Here is a 19,359-nt window from a genome sequence, read left to right on the forward strand (position 1 = left end):
AGCCCTTTGGAAAGACTCACTCCACCTGTGATATCAACTAGTGAGTTGATGCTGCTCCTCCCTTTTGCAGTTTTTACAAAACCACCAACCAGCATTCCTGCCTTATAAGAGACCACCAATGACAGAGTTGTTCTGGCCAGTCTACGCAGTATGTACTAAGAGAGTTCTTATGTCCTCTGCTTCTTCTTTTGATGTCAGAGGTCCGAAAATACCACCTTTGAATCATGGAAATGCCACCTTTTTTTTTTTAACTTAGGCCCCATGGAGAGACATGAAGTTTAATTATGCATATGCACATTTCTCCTTTTGTAAACATTCATTAGCCCTACTACAGTTTATTGAATATGTATATCTTACCACCCTCCTCAGCCTAAATTCCTGTCTTATACTTCCTGCTCTTGAAGTGTGTGATTCTGGCTTCTGGTTAGAGCCTATGCTTCCCAACCAGTCATAATGGCCACTTCGCAGGCTGCAACTCTTCATAATAAATAAAGTTCTCCTTTCCAAATTTATGAACCCCATCATTCTTCAGTTGATGGAAATTTAAAAAATAAAAGCACAGTGCAACTGGCAGTAAAATGTTAATCTGAGAAAATCCCTAGTATAATTTGAATTATTTTCTCAATTTCTTTCAGCCAAATATTTCTTCCCCTTTTCCTTCCTCTCACATATGAGGAAAAAAAATCAAAGGGGCCAATTCTTCCAAAATGTTAATATTTTATCACATCATATTTTAAAATTTTGTTGTTACATGAATACACATATATACTTATTTCATTGGGTTATGTGGGTCTATATTAATTTCCATGAAACTTACTTTATATTAAAATCACATGGAGAGCTTTAAGTAATAATGATGCACAAATATCCTGATTAAATTAATATTTGTTAGCATGGGCCTCAAAATTTCTTAAAGCTCTTCAGATAATTCTAATATGCATTCAGAGTTGAAAAACATTGGCCAAAAAGTGAAACATAATTCTTTTTTGAATTGTATTTTTAATTAAAAAATAATAATTTTATATATTTATGGAGTAAAATGTGATGTTACATGTAAACATCATGGATCGATTAAATAAAGTAATTAACATATTTGTCACTTTACATACTTACCTTTTCCTTATGGCAAGAACGTGTAAGGATCTGCTCTTCCAGTAATTTTGAAATGTTTGATATATTATAACTGATTGTAGTTATCATGCTATTTAATAGCTCACTAGAACTTGTTCCCCTTCCCAGCTTTTACTTCCATACTGGTCTAGATATGTATATGAACGTAAATATATTAAAAATGTATGGGAAGGTAAGTTTTGCTGGTATTTCATGGTGATATTTGGAGACAGAATTCATGTAGTAAAAATCCTGTCTTTAAAAATTCATCCTGTTTCTCAAAATGCTACAAAAAAATACATGTACAGAAAAAAAAAACAGCAAATGCTTATCTTTTATTATTACTTTAAGCTTTAGAAAACTAAGCCAAATTAAGTAAGAAAAAGTAAATAAGAGAAGAAAAAATGATATTTCGAATTAAAACAGAGAAAAATATAAATGACGCTGAAATCAGATTCTTTAAAAAGATGAAGTTGATAGGTATTTAGCAAGAAGGAAGATACAACTTGTCAATAGTAGGGAAGAAGGAAAAAATATAACTAGGATGTACAGACAATAAAAGCATAAGGTCATATCTTGAGCAACTCTGTTCTCATAAATTCAACAAAATAAAATTAATTAATTTCCCCATAAATCATGAACATAGAAAAGATGATACAAATAACATATACAATCCAATATATCTTTTAAAAATTTAAGTTAAAAAATTTTGAAAAGAAACATCTGATCAATGATGGTTTCAATCGTAAACTCTACCTAATCTTTATAGAAGAAATAGTATCAATTTTGAAACAATCTCTTCCGGAAAGCAGAATACTGGAGCAGTTAATTTAGCCAGCATTATTCTAATTCCAAAACCACCCAAAGACAGTACAAAAATGGAATGAAAAAAAAGAAAACAATGACACAAAAATAAAATAAAATGAATCTACAGACCAATATCCAAAATATATATAGGTGTAAAAATTCTTAACAAAATATAAGCAAATCAAATCAAGCAATACATAAACTCATAAGATTACATAATAAAGTTAGGTTTATCTGAAGAATGTAAAGCTGGTTGATACTGAAAAACCTATCAATGTAATAATCATATTTACAATTTAAAAAACAAAAGGACATTATCATATCAATTGACAGAGAGTTTGATGAAATTCAATACTCATTTATGATAAACACATTCATTAATCTAGGAATAAAAACAGACATCTATAAAAACCCATAATGATTATATACTTAGTGATAAATGATGTTCCTGTAGAGTCCAAATCAATGCAAAGATGTCCATGTGACATTCCTATTTAATACTTTACTAGAAGTGTAGGCCAGTGCCATAAGGCAAGAAAATACAAATCATACAAATCATAAATGAAAAGTTCAATTATCCTTTTTGGAAAAGACGTAAACGTCTACATAGAATATCCCAAGGAATCTACAAAAAAATAGGTTTAACAAGTTTTCAGAATAAAAGATTAGCTCATACACATGAATTGTATTTCTGTATACTAACAATTAAAAACAACATATTTTTAAAACTTACCTTGGACAGTCTCTTATCAAAAAATCTGCAGGCATTGCATGCATAAAATTGCAAAATGTGATGAAGTAAATGAAAAGAGACCTGAATAATGGAGAGACATAACTTGCTTATGAATTGAAAAAACTCAAGCTAGTACTGATGTTAATTTTCCCCACCACAATTTATAGAACCAGCAAGGATTTTGTAAGTTTTTACAAGCAAACTCTAAAACTTATATATAAATCTAAGAAAGTATGCAGGATAGTTCTTGGACTGACTCATTTATCTTCACTTTCTTGTTTGTAGCTTCCATAATAGCTATGGAATATACTGAAATGTAACACCCTGAGATAAGTGGGGAGCCAGTTGGAAGAGCTTGTGCTCTATTCCATTTCCTCTAGAAAATGATGTTCTTCAATGCTTTTAGCCCAGTGTGTCACAATTTGGTGGGGTATAAAACCCAGGGCTGGCTGCTATGTGAGGTCCCTCAGCTGCAGTGCAAACAGGGCACATGGATTTAAGACTCCATCTGTCCTGGACAACTTTCCTGAGCCTTGAAGGATGGCTCACAATGAATCCTTGGCTTCTGTTTTCCCTTGTTGCCTATATGCAAGTAATAAGCCTATTTCATGTAACTTGCTGTGTTCATGGGTATTCTGTCTTACCAGAATCAGACAAGTTGGTAACTGGGGCACAGTGAACCTCCTTCCTGGGTAGAATAGAATAAAAAAGCTAAACATAGCTATCTAAAGACTTACTCTACCAGAATACAGACAGAGTACAATTAATATAGGAGATTATATATAACACATACACACACACATATATATACATATATATGTATATATATATATATGGAAATAAAGAAAATATATCCACATAAATGTGGCCAAATATTTTAGCAAAAATGCAAAAGTATTCTAATGAAGAAAGAATAAACTTCTCAATAGATGATGTTTTAAAAACTGACTTATGCATTTAAAAATAAAGTTTGATCTAATCTTCACAACACACATTAAATTGACTCAAAATGAATCATCAATATAGTTTTTAAAGTAAAACTATAACTTTTTGGAATAAAATATAGAAAAAAGTCATCCTGTTCTTGTCCAAAGAGATAACAAAATGTATGAAGAAAAATAATGAATGGATTAAGTACCTTTATATGATAAACTTTGATCTGTTAAAGACCATGTTATGAAAATAAAAAGTCAAGATACAAACTTTTTTTTGCAAAGAACATATCTGGCAAAGGACTTTTAATCAGACTATATTAAGAACCCTCAAAAACCAAGAGCAAGAAAAAAATTTTAAAGATTAAAAGAGTCACATCAGTGAAAATGGCACAGGAAAGGCTCACAAAAATTCTTTCCTCTATAACAGTAAAAAACTGGCAAAAATTGTCAGAATAAACCTTTTCAGACCTCTGGAAAGTAACAAAAACTTGCAACAATTTGAAGCATGTTTATGCAAAAGAATATGTATATTCTCTGATGGTAAAGCCATAAAAATAGATACTAATAATCTTACAATCTCTAGGAAATAAAAATGTATGTTTTCAAAATAACGTTTTCTAACGGGGTATGAAAATAATACACAATTGTTAAAGTAATACAAGTGGATAATTTATGTAGCAAAACTCATAAGAAGTATTTAGAATTATACTCAATAATTAATTACTGAAAAGGAATAGAAATAAGACTGCAAACTACATAATAACTAAGCAAAAATAGTAAAACTGGGATTACAGTCATGAGCCAACACACCTGGCCACCACATTTTCTTTATTCATCCATTGATAGGTTGATTCCACATCTTGGCTATTGTGACTAGTGCTGCAATAAACATAGTAATGCGGATATCTTTTTGATATGTGAATTACCTTATTAAAAAATACACATTTATATATACACATACATATGTGTGTATATGTTTATATATATATAATACAATACATATATATATATATACACACATACACACACTCAGCAGTGGGATTCCTAGGTCATATGGTAGTTCTAGTTATAGATTTTTTTTTTAAACTCCCATACTGTTTTGGTAGTGGCTGTACTAATTTACATTCTCACCAACAGTGTTTGAATGCCTTTCTCTGCATTCTTGCCAGTAATATTTGTTGACATAAAAAAAGGCACATAAGCCAATTAAACTAAATACAGAACCCAGAAATAAAACCAAGCATTTCCAGTCAACTCATTGTCTATAAAGGCAACAAGAACATACATTGGGTAAAGAGCAGTCTCTTCAATAAATGGCGCTAGGAAAACTGGATATCCATATGCAAAAGAGTGAAACTAGACCTGTATCTCTCACCATATATAAAAATAACATCAAAATAGATTAAGGACATAAGTGTAAGACATGAAACTATAAATCTTCTGGAAGTTATTAACTGGGGAAACACTCTAGGATATTGATTTGGGCAAACTTTTATTGAGTAAGATCTCAACAGCACAGCCAAGCAAAGCAAAAATGGACCAATGGAATCATATCAACCTAAACAGCTTCTGCACAGAACAGAAAAAGAATAAACAAAATGAAGAGACAACCTACAGAATGAGAGGAAGTATTTGTAAACTGTTCAACTTACGAGGAATTAATTCCTAGAAGATATAAGAAACTTAACCAATGTAATAGAAAAAAATTATCTGATTTAAAACAGTAAACCTGAAAATATTTCTCAAAAAACGATATACAAATGTCCAACAGGCATATAAAAAAATGTTACACATCACTAATCATAAGCAAAATGCACAACACAACCACAATTAGGTATCATCTCACCCCAGTTTAAGTGAATGTTGTAAAAAAGACAGAAGAATTGAAATATTAAGATAATACTTCTCCCTTCTCTCCACATAAAGTTGAATACTAAATTTAAGAAATTCACGACCTGGCGCGGTGGCTCACGCCTGTAATCCCAGCACTTTGGGAGGCTGAGGCAGGTGGATCACGAGGTCAGGAGATCGAGACCATCCTGGCTAACATGGTGAAACCCCATCTCTACTAAAAATACAACAAATTAGCCGGGCGTGGTGGTGGACACCTGTAGTCCCAGCTACTTGGGAGGCTGAGGCAGGAGAATGGTGTGAACCTGGGAGGTGGAGCTTGCAGTGAGCTGGGATCACGCCACTGCACTCCAGCCTGGGTGACAGAGCGAGACTCCATCTCAAAAAAAAAAAAAAAGAAAGAAAAGAAAAAGAGAAATTCACAATAATGTAAATTTTCAAGGTGATTAGTAAAAGTTATGGAGGTAATTTTAAATTTAAAAACATATTATTCACAATTATAATTTTCTTATTTTATTATTATTATACTTTAAGTTTTAGGGTACATGTGCACATTGTGCAGGTTAGTTACGTATGTATACTTGTGCCATGCTGCTGCCCTGCACCCATTAACTCATCATTTAGCATTAGGTACATCTCCTAAAGCTATCCCTCCACCATCCCCCCACCCCACAACAGTCCCCAGAGTGTGATGTTCCCCTTCCTGTGTCCATGTGTTCTCATTGTTCAATTCCCACCTATGAGTGAGAATATGCGGTGTTTGGTTTTTTGTTCTTGCGATAGTTTACTGAGAATGATGATTTCCAATTTCATCCATGTCCCTACAAAGGACATGAACTCATCATTTTTTATGGCTGCATAGTATTCCATGGTGTATATGTGCCACATTTTCTTAATCCAGTCTATCATTGTTGGACATTTGGGTTGGTTCCAAGTCTTTGCTATTGTGAATAGTGCCACAATAAACATACGTGTGCATGTGTCTTTATAGCAGCATGATTTATAGTCCTTTGGGTATATACCCAGTAATGGGATGGCTGGGTCAAATGGTATTTCTAGCTCTAGATCCTTGAGGAATCGCCACACTGACTTCCACAATGGTTGAACTAGTTTACAGTCCCACCAACAGTGTAAAAGTGTTCCTATTTCTCCACATCCTTTCCAGCACCTGTTGTTTCCTGACTTTCTAATGATTGCCATTCTAACTGGTGTGAGATGGTATCTCATTGTGGTTTTGATTTGCATTTCTCTGATAGCCAGTGATGGTGAGCACTTTTTCATGTGTTTTTTGGCTGCATAAATGTCTTCTTTTGAGAAGTGTCTGTTCATGTCCTTTGCCCACTTTTTGATGGGGTTGTTTGTTTTTTTCTTGTAAATTTGTTTGAGTTCATTGTAGATTCTGGATATTAGCCCTTTGTCAGTTATAATGTTAATAATTTCAATAATGTTTATGAAACTACCTTCATGATTATAAATGTAAAATTAAAATAAGAATAATATGTAAGTTGTCATCCTAATATAAATACAACTGAGCATGGAATCAACTTTTCAAGAATAATCTTCTCAAACATCTTAGTCCATTTGTTTCCATTGGTGAATTGTTCCTATGTATTTAAAGATGAGCCACAAGTCACAGAAAGAGGTTTAATATGGAGTTATTAAAACCTTAATATAAAAACTTGATATTTTTGTTTACAAAAAAGATTCTTACCAAGGGTCTATTTTTGAAACTAATAATAAATCCTCCAATCTTGAAGCATTTAGTATGCAAGATACACTGTGTTAAGATCATTATTCTCATTAACTTTAGTCTTCATAATGAGCCTCTGAAACTAATACTTTCTCTATCCTCATTTGATAGATGAGGCATCTGAAATTTAGAAAAGTGAAGTAAGTTGCCTTAAAGAAAAGTGAAGTAGCTGTAATGCAACTGAGCAGGGGAAGTGAGTTATGAACCCAGAAAATATGGTTTCAGAATTTATGCTTTTACCACTTTGCATGTTTAATTTATGTGTTAACTTGGCTATGCCAAGGTACCTAGATATTTAGTCAAATATTATTCTAGATGTTTCTGTGAAGGTAATTTTAACTAAGGTTAATGTTTACATCAGTATGTTTGAGTGAAGCACATTATTCTTCGTAATGTGGTGGGCTCATCCAATCAGTTCAAGGGAGGCCTTATTAAAAAAAGACTGCCCTCCCTGGAAGAAGAGAGAATTCGGCCAGCAGACTGCCTGTGGAATTAAATTTCAACTATTCTCTGGGTGTCTTGCCTACTGGTTTAGCGTGCAGACTTTAAACTTGCCAGCTTTCCACAATCAGGTGAGCTAACTCCTTAAACTTTCTCTTTCTGTTGTTTTATGAAAAACAATATAACATCTCTCTTTATAGATAATATATAATAATATAAAATGTGTGGCATTACATGGAATATTTCATAATTAAAACACATACAATGTATAATATATTGGTTATATATTATAAATATTTACATATAATTATGCATACTACATAATAATTATATATTACAAATAATTGTATATAGTTACACATAAAATATGTAATGGATATATTAATAATATATAATTATACATACAATATATAATAGTTTTATATTATTAATAATTATATATGATTATGTATACAAATCTATTATGTATTATAAATAATTTTATATAATTATACACACAATATATAATAGTTACTATGTATTATATATAATAATAGAAAATATATGTATATATACCCATATGTATAGATACACATGTCCCATTGGTTGTTGGTTGTTTCTCTGGAGAACTCTAATACAACATGACAATATACATCCCCTAGTAATAAAATGCTTGCAAGTGTAAATCAGTTAAATAAATGTAAAAATAATACAATTTACTATATTAAACTGGGCATAAACTTTGAAATTAAATAGTTTTAATGTTAAGAACCAATGGAGTCAAATTTTATAGAAGTGCCTGCATTATGCTAGGCACTCTACTAAACACAATAAAAGACTATAAATTATTATAAATGACATATATGTAAATAATTTTAAGTACCATAAAAACAACAAATGTATAATATGTAAAATTAAAAATATTTTATATATCTTTGGATGATATAATTTTAAAAATACTTCACTATCTAAACATGTTTAAACACATTTCAGTTTTTGAAAGATTCTCAAATATCAATAAAAACCTTTTTAGGAAGTTTGAGACATGACAATAATAATAACAGCAATTATTTATTGATTAATAGCTCCTTACCAGATATTCTTCTAAGCATTTTAGGAATAGTTTTATTAATAATTAAATTCTCACATAAACCTCTAAGGTTAGTACATTTTATAAAGATGTATAACCCCAATTTAAACTAAAATTGGTCTGTCTAGGAAACCCATGATGACAGTCAGTTTTTTGCTTAGAAATATAATGACTCTTCTTTAACTTAAGAGGAGTTAGATTATATTATATGATCAGAATTATACTAGTATTGTATAGAAAGGAGAAGTTCTAAGCAGTTTCTCACAGAAATCAACAAAAATATTCACCAAAGTTTTTCTTTTATTCATTTAATTCATCCAATAGTTCATAATCACTTATACTATATCAGCACTTTACTGTACAGTAGACATTGAGGAACGAATAAGACCTAGTGTAAATGTATTATCAAGGTACATATATTCTGTATTAAAAACAATTGTTTTTCATACCCCAGCAAATATTCCGATGGCTATATCACCAAGTGTTTGGAGTATTTTAACCAGATAAGTACCATCAAAAATTTAACTATGCAAGGGCTGCTTGGATGAATTTGGAAGTATGTCTAAGAGTTGATCAAAGGAAGCATTCGGTGTCATACATAATGATCAGAGAAAATTGCACACATGAAAAGAAAGATATAAAATGTAATGACACTTCTGGAAATTTACAAAAAATAAAATAAAAGGACCATGAAAAGGCAATGGAAATGTATTTCTAGGACAGTGCCTGAATAATAGTTCTAGATACCAAATTCATTTTCCAGTCCTTAATGGACTTGAGGACTAAGTTAAAATTTAAGCTTTTTCCTTAAAGATATGAAACCCATTTGATATAGTTTTACTGTGTCCCCACCCAAACCTCATCTTGAATTGTAGTTCGCATCATCCCCACGTGTGGTAGGAGGGACCCAGTAGGAGGTAATTGAATCATGAAGGCGGTTTCAAGACCTCTAACAATGTCTGTTACTAAAAATTAAAAGGCATAATTCTATCTACATTTTCCAGATATAAGTCACTTCTTAGACCTAGAATTCATTGATTTAATGAGACTGGATCCTCTTAAGGAGGACTGCATAACACCACAGCAAGTATTTACTACGTTGCTCAGTAAGTTTTCTCCAGTGTGAGGCAGGAGAAGTGGGTCTGGAGGCAGGAAACCTAAGGCTGATTCATGTTGACTTCATAAAACTGAAACAAAATGAAAACCTCACCTTTCCATGCCAAAGTACCAAAAGAATCAGAGGCCACTCCATTTGCAACCCTCCCCCTTTCTGCATCACAGGTGAAAAATTGAAAGTACCTCTAATTGGTCTCCTCCTGCAACCATTCAGACTGAGCATGGGTGTAGTCTTTATTTGCATAGGGGTGTAACTTCGTGACTTCACCTCAGCCTCTGACTGGTCACCTCTCATGACCAATTAGACTGGTTGCAGGCCATTTATTTATTTTCATAGGGTGTAACCAAATAACCAGTGCAAAACCTCTACAGGGTATTGATACACCAGAAAATTCTGTAACCAACAGTCTTGAGCCACTTACTCAAGCTCACTCCCATTCTGTGGCATGTACTTTTATTTCAATAAATCTGTGCTTTTGTTGCTTCATTATTTCATAGCTTTGTATGTGTTATATGTTGTATCTGCCAAATTGGCTTATAAGTAAAAGAGCACTCATAAAATAAGTAAATAAGTCCAAGGATATTTCAACTTGATGTGACTTAAGTAAATCTTTATTAAACAAGCTGGCTTTAAAATTATTGGTAAAATAAAAATAGAAATATCTTCAGAATTGTCAACATACATTTTTGTCTGTTTTATATTTGTCTTTTCTAAATATTTTAAGGTGTTTAATATCTCAGTTTTCTGAATTAATCTAGATTAAACAGTTAAAAATGAAAGAATTGAGTACATGTAACTGGGATAAATGTTTTAGGTAAACTTTTTGTGTAATTTAAAATCTTAATGTTATTTTCAATGTTCATTGGATATCTGATTTATTTCCAATTAAGAAAAGGTTATGATATGGTAAAATATGTTTCTAAAAATTGTGTGATTTTCCTCATGCATAAAATGCTCATATCTTATAGTTCAGGATTTCTTGTATTTTAGGGTTTCACTAAAATTTAAGGTTATTAAGGATAATAATTCTATTTAACAGATAATTCTGTATACAAAATTGTGCCAAAACATGTGTTATTAGGAAGAAAAGTAATATTTGTGTGTAATTCAGAAGTTATCTAAAAGTTAATTCAAATTATGGACTTAAAAAAAGGGTTATTTATGAGACAAGGTAGTAACAAACCAGTAAGTATGGGAGAGATGTGTGAAGAAAATTAGTATATGAAGATGTGTTTTGGTAAAGAAAGTTGTAGAAACAATAATATTGTATGATCAAAGATTTTACATGGTAAATTCTTGTTCTAAAGTAAAATGACTGTGTTTTTAATAAGAGGTATGTTTAGGACAAGTCAGAAAGCCTAAGCATGTTGCAGATGGGTTGTGTAAGTCATGAAAAGAATTGTGATGTGTGAACAAAATTAGTATATGATGTATTTTTGATACGGAAAGTTGTAGGACAATAATATTGTATGATGAAAGATCTTATGTGGTAAATTCTTGTTCTAAAGTAAAATGACTGTTTTTTTTAAGAAGAGGGATGTTTAGGACAAGTGAGAAAACCTAGCATGTTGCAGATGGGTTGTGTAAGTCAGGAAAAGGAACTGTATAAGAAAAGTAGAATGAACTAGAATGAAAGTAGAATAAAAGTCATGGGAATGTGGATTTCTTTCCCAAATTTAGAGGATTGAAGGATTGTTTTAAGTGAGACCAGAAAAATCTAAAGGTTTGAACAATTTGTGGAAGGTTTATGAATAACTAATTGTAAAATAGATTCTGTATGTGAACACATGGACTAAAATTAAAGGAGAAGATTGACAATTAGACTTCACCCATATGCCAGCTTGCAAAGTATACAAGCTTACCTTACCAGAAGAGAGAAGGCTAATGGAGTTATAAAGATTCTCTTAAAGAAAATAATCCCCCAGTTTGGGTTAACCCAGAGTGTCCAAAGTGATAATGGCCTATCTTTGCTTTACAAAAGTTTGGAACTCAAAGGCTCTCCACAGCAGCAACTAACCTGCAACCCAAAATCAGGCCAGGAGATAAGGTGCTTTTTTAAATATGGAAGGAGGGATCACCTGCATAACAATTACAACCAAAAAGAAATGGACAATTTTCAGTGCTACTGGCCACGTCTTCTGCTGTCAGAGTACTAGGATTAGATAGTTGGATTTATCTTTCCATAGTCAAAACTGCAATACCTGAAGCCCTAGAACTGGAACCTGAAGCTCCCATCCATCACCCACTACTCCTGTGAACCTGTGGAATACCTGAAGTACCTGTTAAAAGACAGCCAAAAGATAAGTAGATACCTGCCAACTTTCCTTGGTATCTTTGTTGCATAGTTACTGTAGGCTGGATAATAATAGCCAGATTTATATTTTACAATTTAACTGCTTTCTTCCAAATGGACAAATCACTTCCTTTTTAATAATTAAGAAAAATGTTCTAATTCATTGTTATAAGAAACATTCCTGACAGCATAGGTATCCACCTCGCTATGTTCCCATTCTATGGAACAAAATAACAAAGGAGTATTTTTTGTTCCATAATGATCACCCACAGCCTGTGTATACTGGGACCATGCGTACTTGGAATCAGCTTTATTTTACAACAGAGTTTCACTTTATCCTTCTGGCAATTAATGGATTCTGGGTATTTATTAAAAACTTTAAATTTAACACAAAGACTGTTAAATACCACCAGTCCAATGAATACAACCAATAACTATGAAAATATCCAGAGTACATCATTTTAAAAACCTGTACACTTTTCAGGAAAATCAGTACTAGTTAAGGCCACTTTAAATAATATATAGTCTAAGTACCGTCAAGATAAGCCCACTAGCTGTGTTCATATTTTCCTTTGGGAAGACTGTATTAATCCTGAGATATCTAGTTGCCTTTTGGTTGCCCATTACAAAAATACCTCTGGGTGGTTGTCAGTGTACACTAAGCATAACTACCTCCACTGGGAAAATAGAACTGCTGGGGAAGCTCAGGATATTTTCCAAGGTTCTTTCCAGCCTTTAACCAGAGCCACCTTAGCAGGGACCTTAACCACCTGGCAACGTGCAAACAACAAGCTAACCCACACGTTCACCATAGAAAACAATTTTTATCTTGAAAAACAAGAAGCCTTTTTTTTTTTTTCTGTGTGGAACCAGTTCCTACGTATGATTATCAGCCAATTGTACTGGAACCTGTACACTTGTTTGTTTAGCCCCCAAAATTAATATAGCCCTCAACAAACAATCCCTCATTATACCTTTAACTGCAACCAACAGACACAAACAAGCCATCAAACTCATACTCATCAAACAAGCCATCAAACTATACCCCTAGGGATAGAAATAACAGTAAGAGCAGGAATGGGAGTTAGCAGGTTTGCAACAGTTCTATCCTATTACCGACTTTTCTCCAAGGATTTTATGGAAAGCTTGGATAACATTGCCCAAAGTTTCATCACCACACAAAATCAAATAGACTCCTTGGCAGCAGCTACTTTGCAAAATAGAAGGGGACTAGATCTGGCTTATGTCTTTTTCTAGAGCAAGAATGCTGTTTTGATGTCAACCAATCAGGATTAATAAGAGACGCCACCTGAAAACTAGCTGATCGGGACTCTAAGATATGACAACCACCATCTGAGTCATGGGGCTCCTGGTAAAAAATGGTAAGTTTGGGTTCATGGCTCCTTCCTCTGGCCAGCCCACTATTAATATCATACTTGCCTTGGTTTTTGGACCATGTTTGTTAAATCTCTTAAACAAATTCATTTCTTCTCACCTAGATACCATCAAGCTTCAGATGATCATGCGACAAGGCTTCCAGACAGTTTCAGGTGAAGACACCACCCCTGGCCATCAAGAAACTACCATGTATCCACTAGACAGAACAAGGCAAAAGTTATTTGATCCCCAATAGGTAGAGACTGCACCCCAAGTCCGCATGAAGCAGTCACAGAAAAAAGACCATCAGTTTCTCTGCCTCCCATGAGATGTATGGGAATCATGTCTCTCAGGGGGGAAATGAGGCAGGACAATAGGGTCTGGAGGCAGGGAACCTAAGGCTGATTCTTACTGCCTTCTAGAATTGAATCAAAGGAAAACCCCCACCTTTCCATGCCCAAGTAACAAAATAATCAGAGGCTACTGCCTTTGCCATCTTCCCTCTTTCTGCATCACAAATGAAAAATGGAAAGTACCTCTGATTGGTCTCCTCCTGCAACCAATCAGACTGGTCATAGACCTAGTCTTTATTCGCATAGGGATGTAACTTTGTAACTTTATTTCAGTCTCTCATTGGTCACATTTCGCAACAAATCAGACTGGTTGTGGGCCACTCCATTTACATAGGATGTGACCAAGTAAACAATGGGACATATCTAGATGGTATGTAAACCCCAGAAAATTCTGTAACCAGCACTCTTGAGGCACTTGGTCAAGCCCACTCCCACTCTGTAGAGTGTAATTTTGCTTCCATAATTCTGTGCTTTTATTGCTTCATTCTTTTACTTCGTTTGTGTGTTTTGTCTAATTCTTTGTTCAAAACACCAAGAACCTGGATGACACATATTCAAGACCCTCCACCAGTTAAAAAAAAAAAAAAACCTACAGCTATTTTTCATGTAACTAAATACTAGGAAAAGGAAATAGATCTTCCTAGGGCTATTGGATGCAGAGTTTGTGCTGACAGTAAACTGATACCAGGGAATTCAAAAGCCATAAACCCTCCTCATCCTTTTACTTTCTGGTTAGATTGATAATTCAAATCCTAGCCCAACTCCATCTCACAATGTTTCCAATAGGTCTGTGGGCCCAGTCTGTTTCTTTGGTCTTTGAGTGCTTAATCAAGAAGGATATGTTCAAGAGCTCACAGTACCCCGACATCGGTTTCTTAAACTGCGGATTTAAGAGTAACTACAGCAGAAAAATGCTCAATATAAGTCCATGATACCTCTAACTCCGAGTCAAAACAGTGTACCAGAAACAGCATTCAGTATAGTGCAAACTTCATAGGATGTAAATGTGTGTGTTCCCATCATATCTGCATTTAATTCAGTACTTTACACCCTGCAAAAACATATAGATCAAAATAGATGACAGTGGTCTATCCTAACCTTAACTGTGTGATAACTTCAACTATGGCTGCCCTAATGAATATGGTATATTTACTAAAACAGATCACGCAACTACTCGGCATGTGGTCATTGATGTATTCTTACTAATCTCAATCCAGCAGGAGAATCAAATTCAGCTTGCATTCGTTTAGAACAGACTGCAGTACACATTAACTTCACCCATTCATGAATTCACACTTCAACAGCTATATTATTTATCCTACTCTGTGTTACAATAAAGTGTAAAGGAGGCTAGATCTGGTGCATAATGTAGAGATGATCGTGCTGGTCTTCTATACTGATGATACCTAAATCCATTGTTAAGTTTTGAGTGGGGCTGAGAGCAAGAGAAGAGCCTGTATCAGTTTCAAACTATGGCACTAAGTGGTGCTGTCACTTGAGCCATCTAATTTTGCAAATGCCACAAAGCTATATATATCTATGGAAGATAAGGGTGTTATGTAGAATCTCTGTCCATCTCAGTAGAGAATTCTGAGATTATCAGGCAGTGTCATATTGGGTGCAACACAGAGTTATTAAGCAGTTGAAATAAGGGGCTATGTTTCTACTCTGACATGTTAGTAGTTTGGAAGTCAACACTCCTATCCTTAAAATAACAAAAAAAAAAAACTGAACTGTTCAAGCTGAAAAACAAGTGTTCTTGCATGTATTGAGATTAGAGGGCAAGCAGATGCCCAAAACTGAATATAGAAGCAGACAGAGAACACAACTTACCTGGAGCAAAAGCCCAGGAGCAGAAGCCATTGCTGGGGCCAACATCAGTAGAAACACTTAAACTATAATTGAAGACTTATAGGAGGCTCACTGTGGGCCATCTTCAGATAGTCAGACTCTGAGGAGTCCAGCCACAAATGAGTTTTATTTTCGAGAAGTCCACCATGCTCTCATATAAAACTGGAGAAATTTTTTTTTCTTGCTTTGGGAGGAGAAAAATAATGCTCTGACATATGCCCAGATAATTCCATTCTCCTTAATAAAGGCTTTCCCTCAAAAGAAACTATTTTACTAAACTCACCAACCTTGGCTTTTACTCGTATAACCAAAGGTGGGGGGGAAAAAAATACATAACTCCAGCGCCCTCTAGCTTTAGACATGGGGGAAGAGAATTAATAATAACAGTTTAACACTGGTTCATTCCTCTGTATCACTGAGTAGTGTTTCATTTTATGAATTATAACAGCTTAACAATTTACCAGTTGAAGGGGATCTGGATTGTCTGCAGTTTCTGGTAATTATGAATAAGATACTGTAGATATCTGTGTACCATTTGGAGGATGAATATAAGTTTTTATTTTTTATGGAGTGATATCTAGATGTAGGATCACTGAATTATGAATTACATTGTAGGCATATATTTAACTTTATAAGAAACTAACAAATTATTTTTTAGCTGATTAAATGATGACTATACTATACTATAATGTACTATACTCTACTATGGCCCAGTAAGCAATATAAGAGATTTCTATTTGCTCTGAGTTCTTGACAGAAACAACCAAAATTGTGTACATATATGTATAGTAAGTTATATATAATAGTTATATATAGTAATTATATATTTTTATATCATGTATATGTAGTAATAACTTTGTGGTGGTATCTTATTGTGGTTTAAAATTTGCATTTTTTGTGGTCATTTGACACCCATATGTCTTATTTGGTAGAGTGTTTGTTCTTATTTTTTGCCCATTTTTCAGTTGATTATTTGTTTTTATTTTTGAGTTTTGGGAGAGTTTTATATTTTCTTGATATAAACCTCTTTATTAGAAATGTGATTTTCATATATGTTTTCCCCATGTGTAGCTGATCTTTTTGACTATGAAGTTATTTTGTAGAGGAAAGCTTTAATTTTGATAAAGTCCAATTTATCTTTTCTTTCATTAATTATGCCTTTGCTGTTGTATCTTTAAAAATCACTCTCAAGGCCACAGTCACACAGAATTCTTCCTTACTGGTGTCCAGTTCCATCTAACCCATGTGAGTCCATGTTCGTGTCTTTTATTTCCTTCAAGCACTGTCTCTCCTTAGATTTTGAGACAGTTTACTGCTCTGCTAACTAAGCATGCTCTGAAGCATTAACAAAATTCATCACTTTAACCACTGTTCTATTATTTTTTGATGGGAGGGGAAGACTGCTCACAATACTGATTCCAGCTCTCTAATCACAATGAAAGATAGGAATCTATATACAGATTCTTTTTCTTTTTTTAAAATTTGTTATTTCCATAGGTGTTTGGAGAACAAGTGGTATTTGATTACATGAGTAAGTACTTTAGTGGTGATTTCTAAGATTTTGGTGCACCCATCCCCTGAGCAATGTAAACTGAACCCAATTTGTAGTCTTTTATCCCTCACCCCCTACCCACCCTTTGCCCTGAGTCCCCCAAGCCCATTGTTTCATTCTTATGCCTTTGCGTCCTCATAGCTTAACTCCTACTTATGAGTTAGAACATATGATGTTTGGTTTTCCATTCCTGCGTTATTTCACTTAGAATAATAGTCTCCAATTCCAACCAGGTTGCTGTAAATGCCGTTAATTCATTCCTTATTATGGTTGCGTAGCATTCCATCGTGTGTGTGCGTGTGTGTGTGTGTGTGTGTATAACAATTCCTGCTTGGGGAGAAGGAAAAAATATATATATAATCACAATTTGTTAATCCACTTGCTGACTGATGCGTAGTTGGGCTGGTTCCATGTTTTTGCAATTGAGCATTGTGCTGCTACAAACAGGCATGTGTGTGCCCAGCCTCATCTGATCTCAGAAGTATATACACATTTTAATTAGTTTATTTATCAAATTTGAGACATTGTTATATAGCCTATCAACCATATATGACTGGTTTCAGTGAACTTTACCTATTATATTAGAAAACTCTTTCACCCTTTGTTTTCTTTTAAATGTAATGTATTTCATGAGTTTCACTTACATAGCATCTATGGTTTACAAAATAGTAAAGCTATTTTTACAATATTCCCAAATGAGAGGAGCATTCTCATTTTTTACATGAAGAAATTTGAAGCTCAAAGAAGACATTTTTTGACAAAGTTGATCAAGAATATGCGCATTGAAGTTTGTAAATCTAAATTCTTCTGCTTCCAAAAATACATGTTTTGTTCTTTACTTATTTTATGCTTTATGTAACTGTACATCGCAAATATAATAAAGATAAACATTGAAAGTATAACAGTATTTTTAAAAAATTGATTAATATGAAATTAACTATCAGACTTTATATCTGACTTATGAGTTATTTGGGCACATATGATTCTTTATGAGTGGTAAATGCTCTAATCTGGATATTTGAACAACATGTGGTGTGTCATGAATATTGATCTCAAATGTGTTTATTCTATCAATATAAACTATTTTATCAGTAGTAAATGAGGAGTTATATAGATAATAAATATTTAGGCAACAATAAAGTAACTTTTTAGACTCTTGCCTTTTTACTTGCAAAAATAAAAATTGAAGTAAGCTCTAATAAAGTTCTTATTGTTGAATGGATTTATTACTGAAAATAAAAAATATATTTTTCAGGAATTTTATTCTGGGCCAGATGCAGTGGAGCACACCTGTAATTCCAACACTTTGAGAGGCTATGGCAGGCAGAGGGCTTGAGCTCAGGTGTTCAAGACCAGCCTAGGCAACATGGTGAACCCTCTCTCTACAAAACTTAGCTGAGTGTGGTGGCTTATGCCTGTAGTACCAGCTACCAGAGGCTGAGGTGGGAGGATTGCTTGAGCCTAGAAGGTTGAGGCCGCAGTGAGCTGAGATAGTGCTGCTGTACTCCAGAGTAGGTGACAGAATGAGGCCTCGTCATTCTCAAAAAACAAGCAAACAAAAAATACTTTGAATGCTTTACCAAATTAAAAATGTACATGACTAGTAATCCTTTTTCATATATATGTATAATCCACAACATTATGCTCCCTAAATGTGCATAATTTTTATTAAAAATTAAAACTGAGACAAGAAAATATACTACTGTGTTAGATATTAAGCCAAGATCTTAAAAAAGCACTGAACAGCTCAAATTTCACTGACTAGCATTTTAGATAGTTACTTTAAGTCATAGCAGGATATTTTACATAAAATTATTTTATCTTGTCTTAAGAATTAACCAACACCTGAGCATTTTATCCTTACTCTGACTCAATGTGATTTTAATGGACTCAGGTCATAGTTGGAAAATTCCATCAAAATTAAGATGAATCATTTAGCTTTGTCATTCCTTGTGGATACTTACTCAAGAAGGATATCAAAAGAGGTTACACAGAATATTTCAAACCTAAAATTCTCAGAAAAACTATAAATATATAGCATATTTTATAAATTCTTACAGTTTATTATATTCTCTATTTTAATACATCATAATCAACAACTAAACACTATGTCCATGTTT

General features: G+C 33.5%; 1 annotated feature.

Moving 5' to 3' along the window:
- Positions 3,004-3,185: a silencer, noted in NCBI's record as "fragment chr6:103054632-103054813 (GRCh37/hg19 assembly coordinates)". NCBI's record gives its function as "represses an EF-1alpha promoter that drives an FKBP-Casp9 reporter gene in an ReSE screen in HepG2 liver carcinoma cells {active_cell/tissue: HepG2}" and the evidence as "EXISTENCE:reporter gene assay evidence [ECO:0000049][PMID:32094911]".

This window comes from Homo sapiens, chromosome 6 (genome assembly GCF_000001405.40).
Source record: "Homo sapiens chromosome 6, GRCh38.p14 Primary Assembly".
Taxonomy (NCBI): Eukaryota; Metazoa; Chordata; class Mammalia; order Primates; family Hominidae; genus Homo; species Homo sapiens.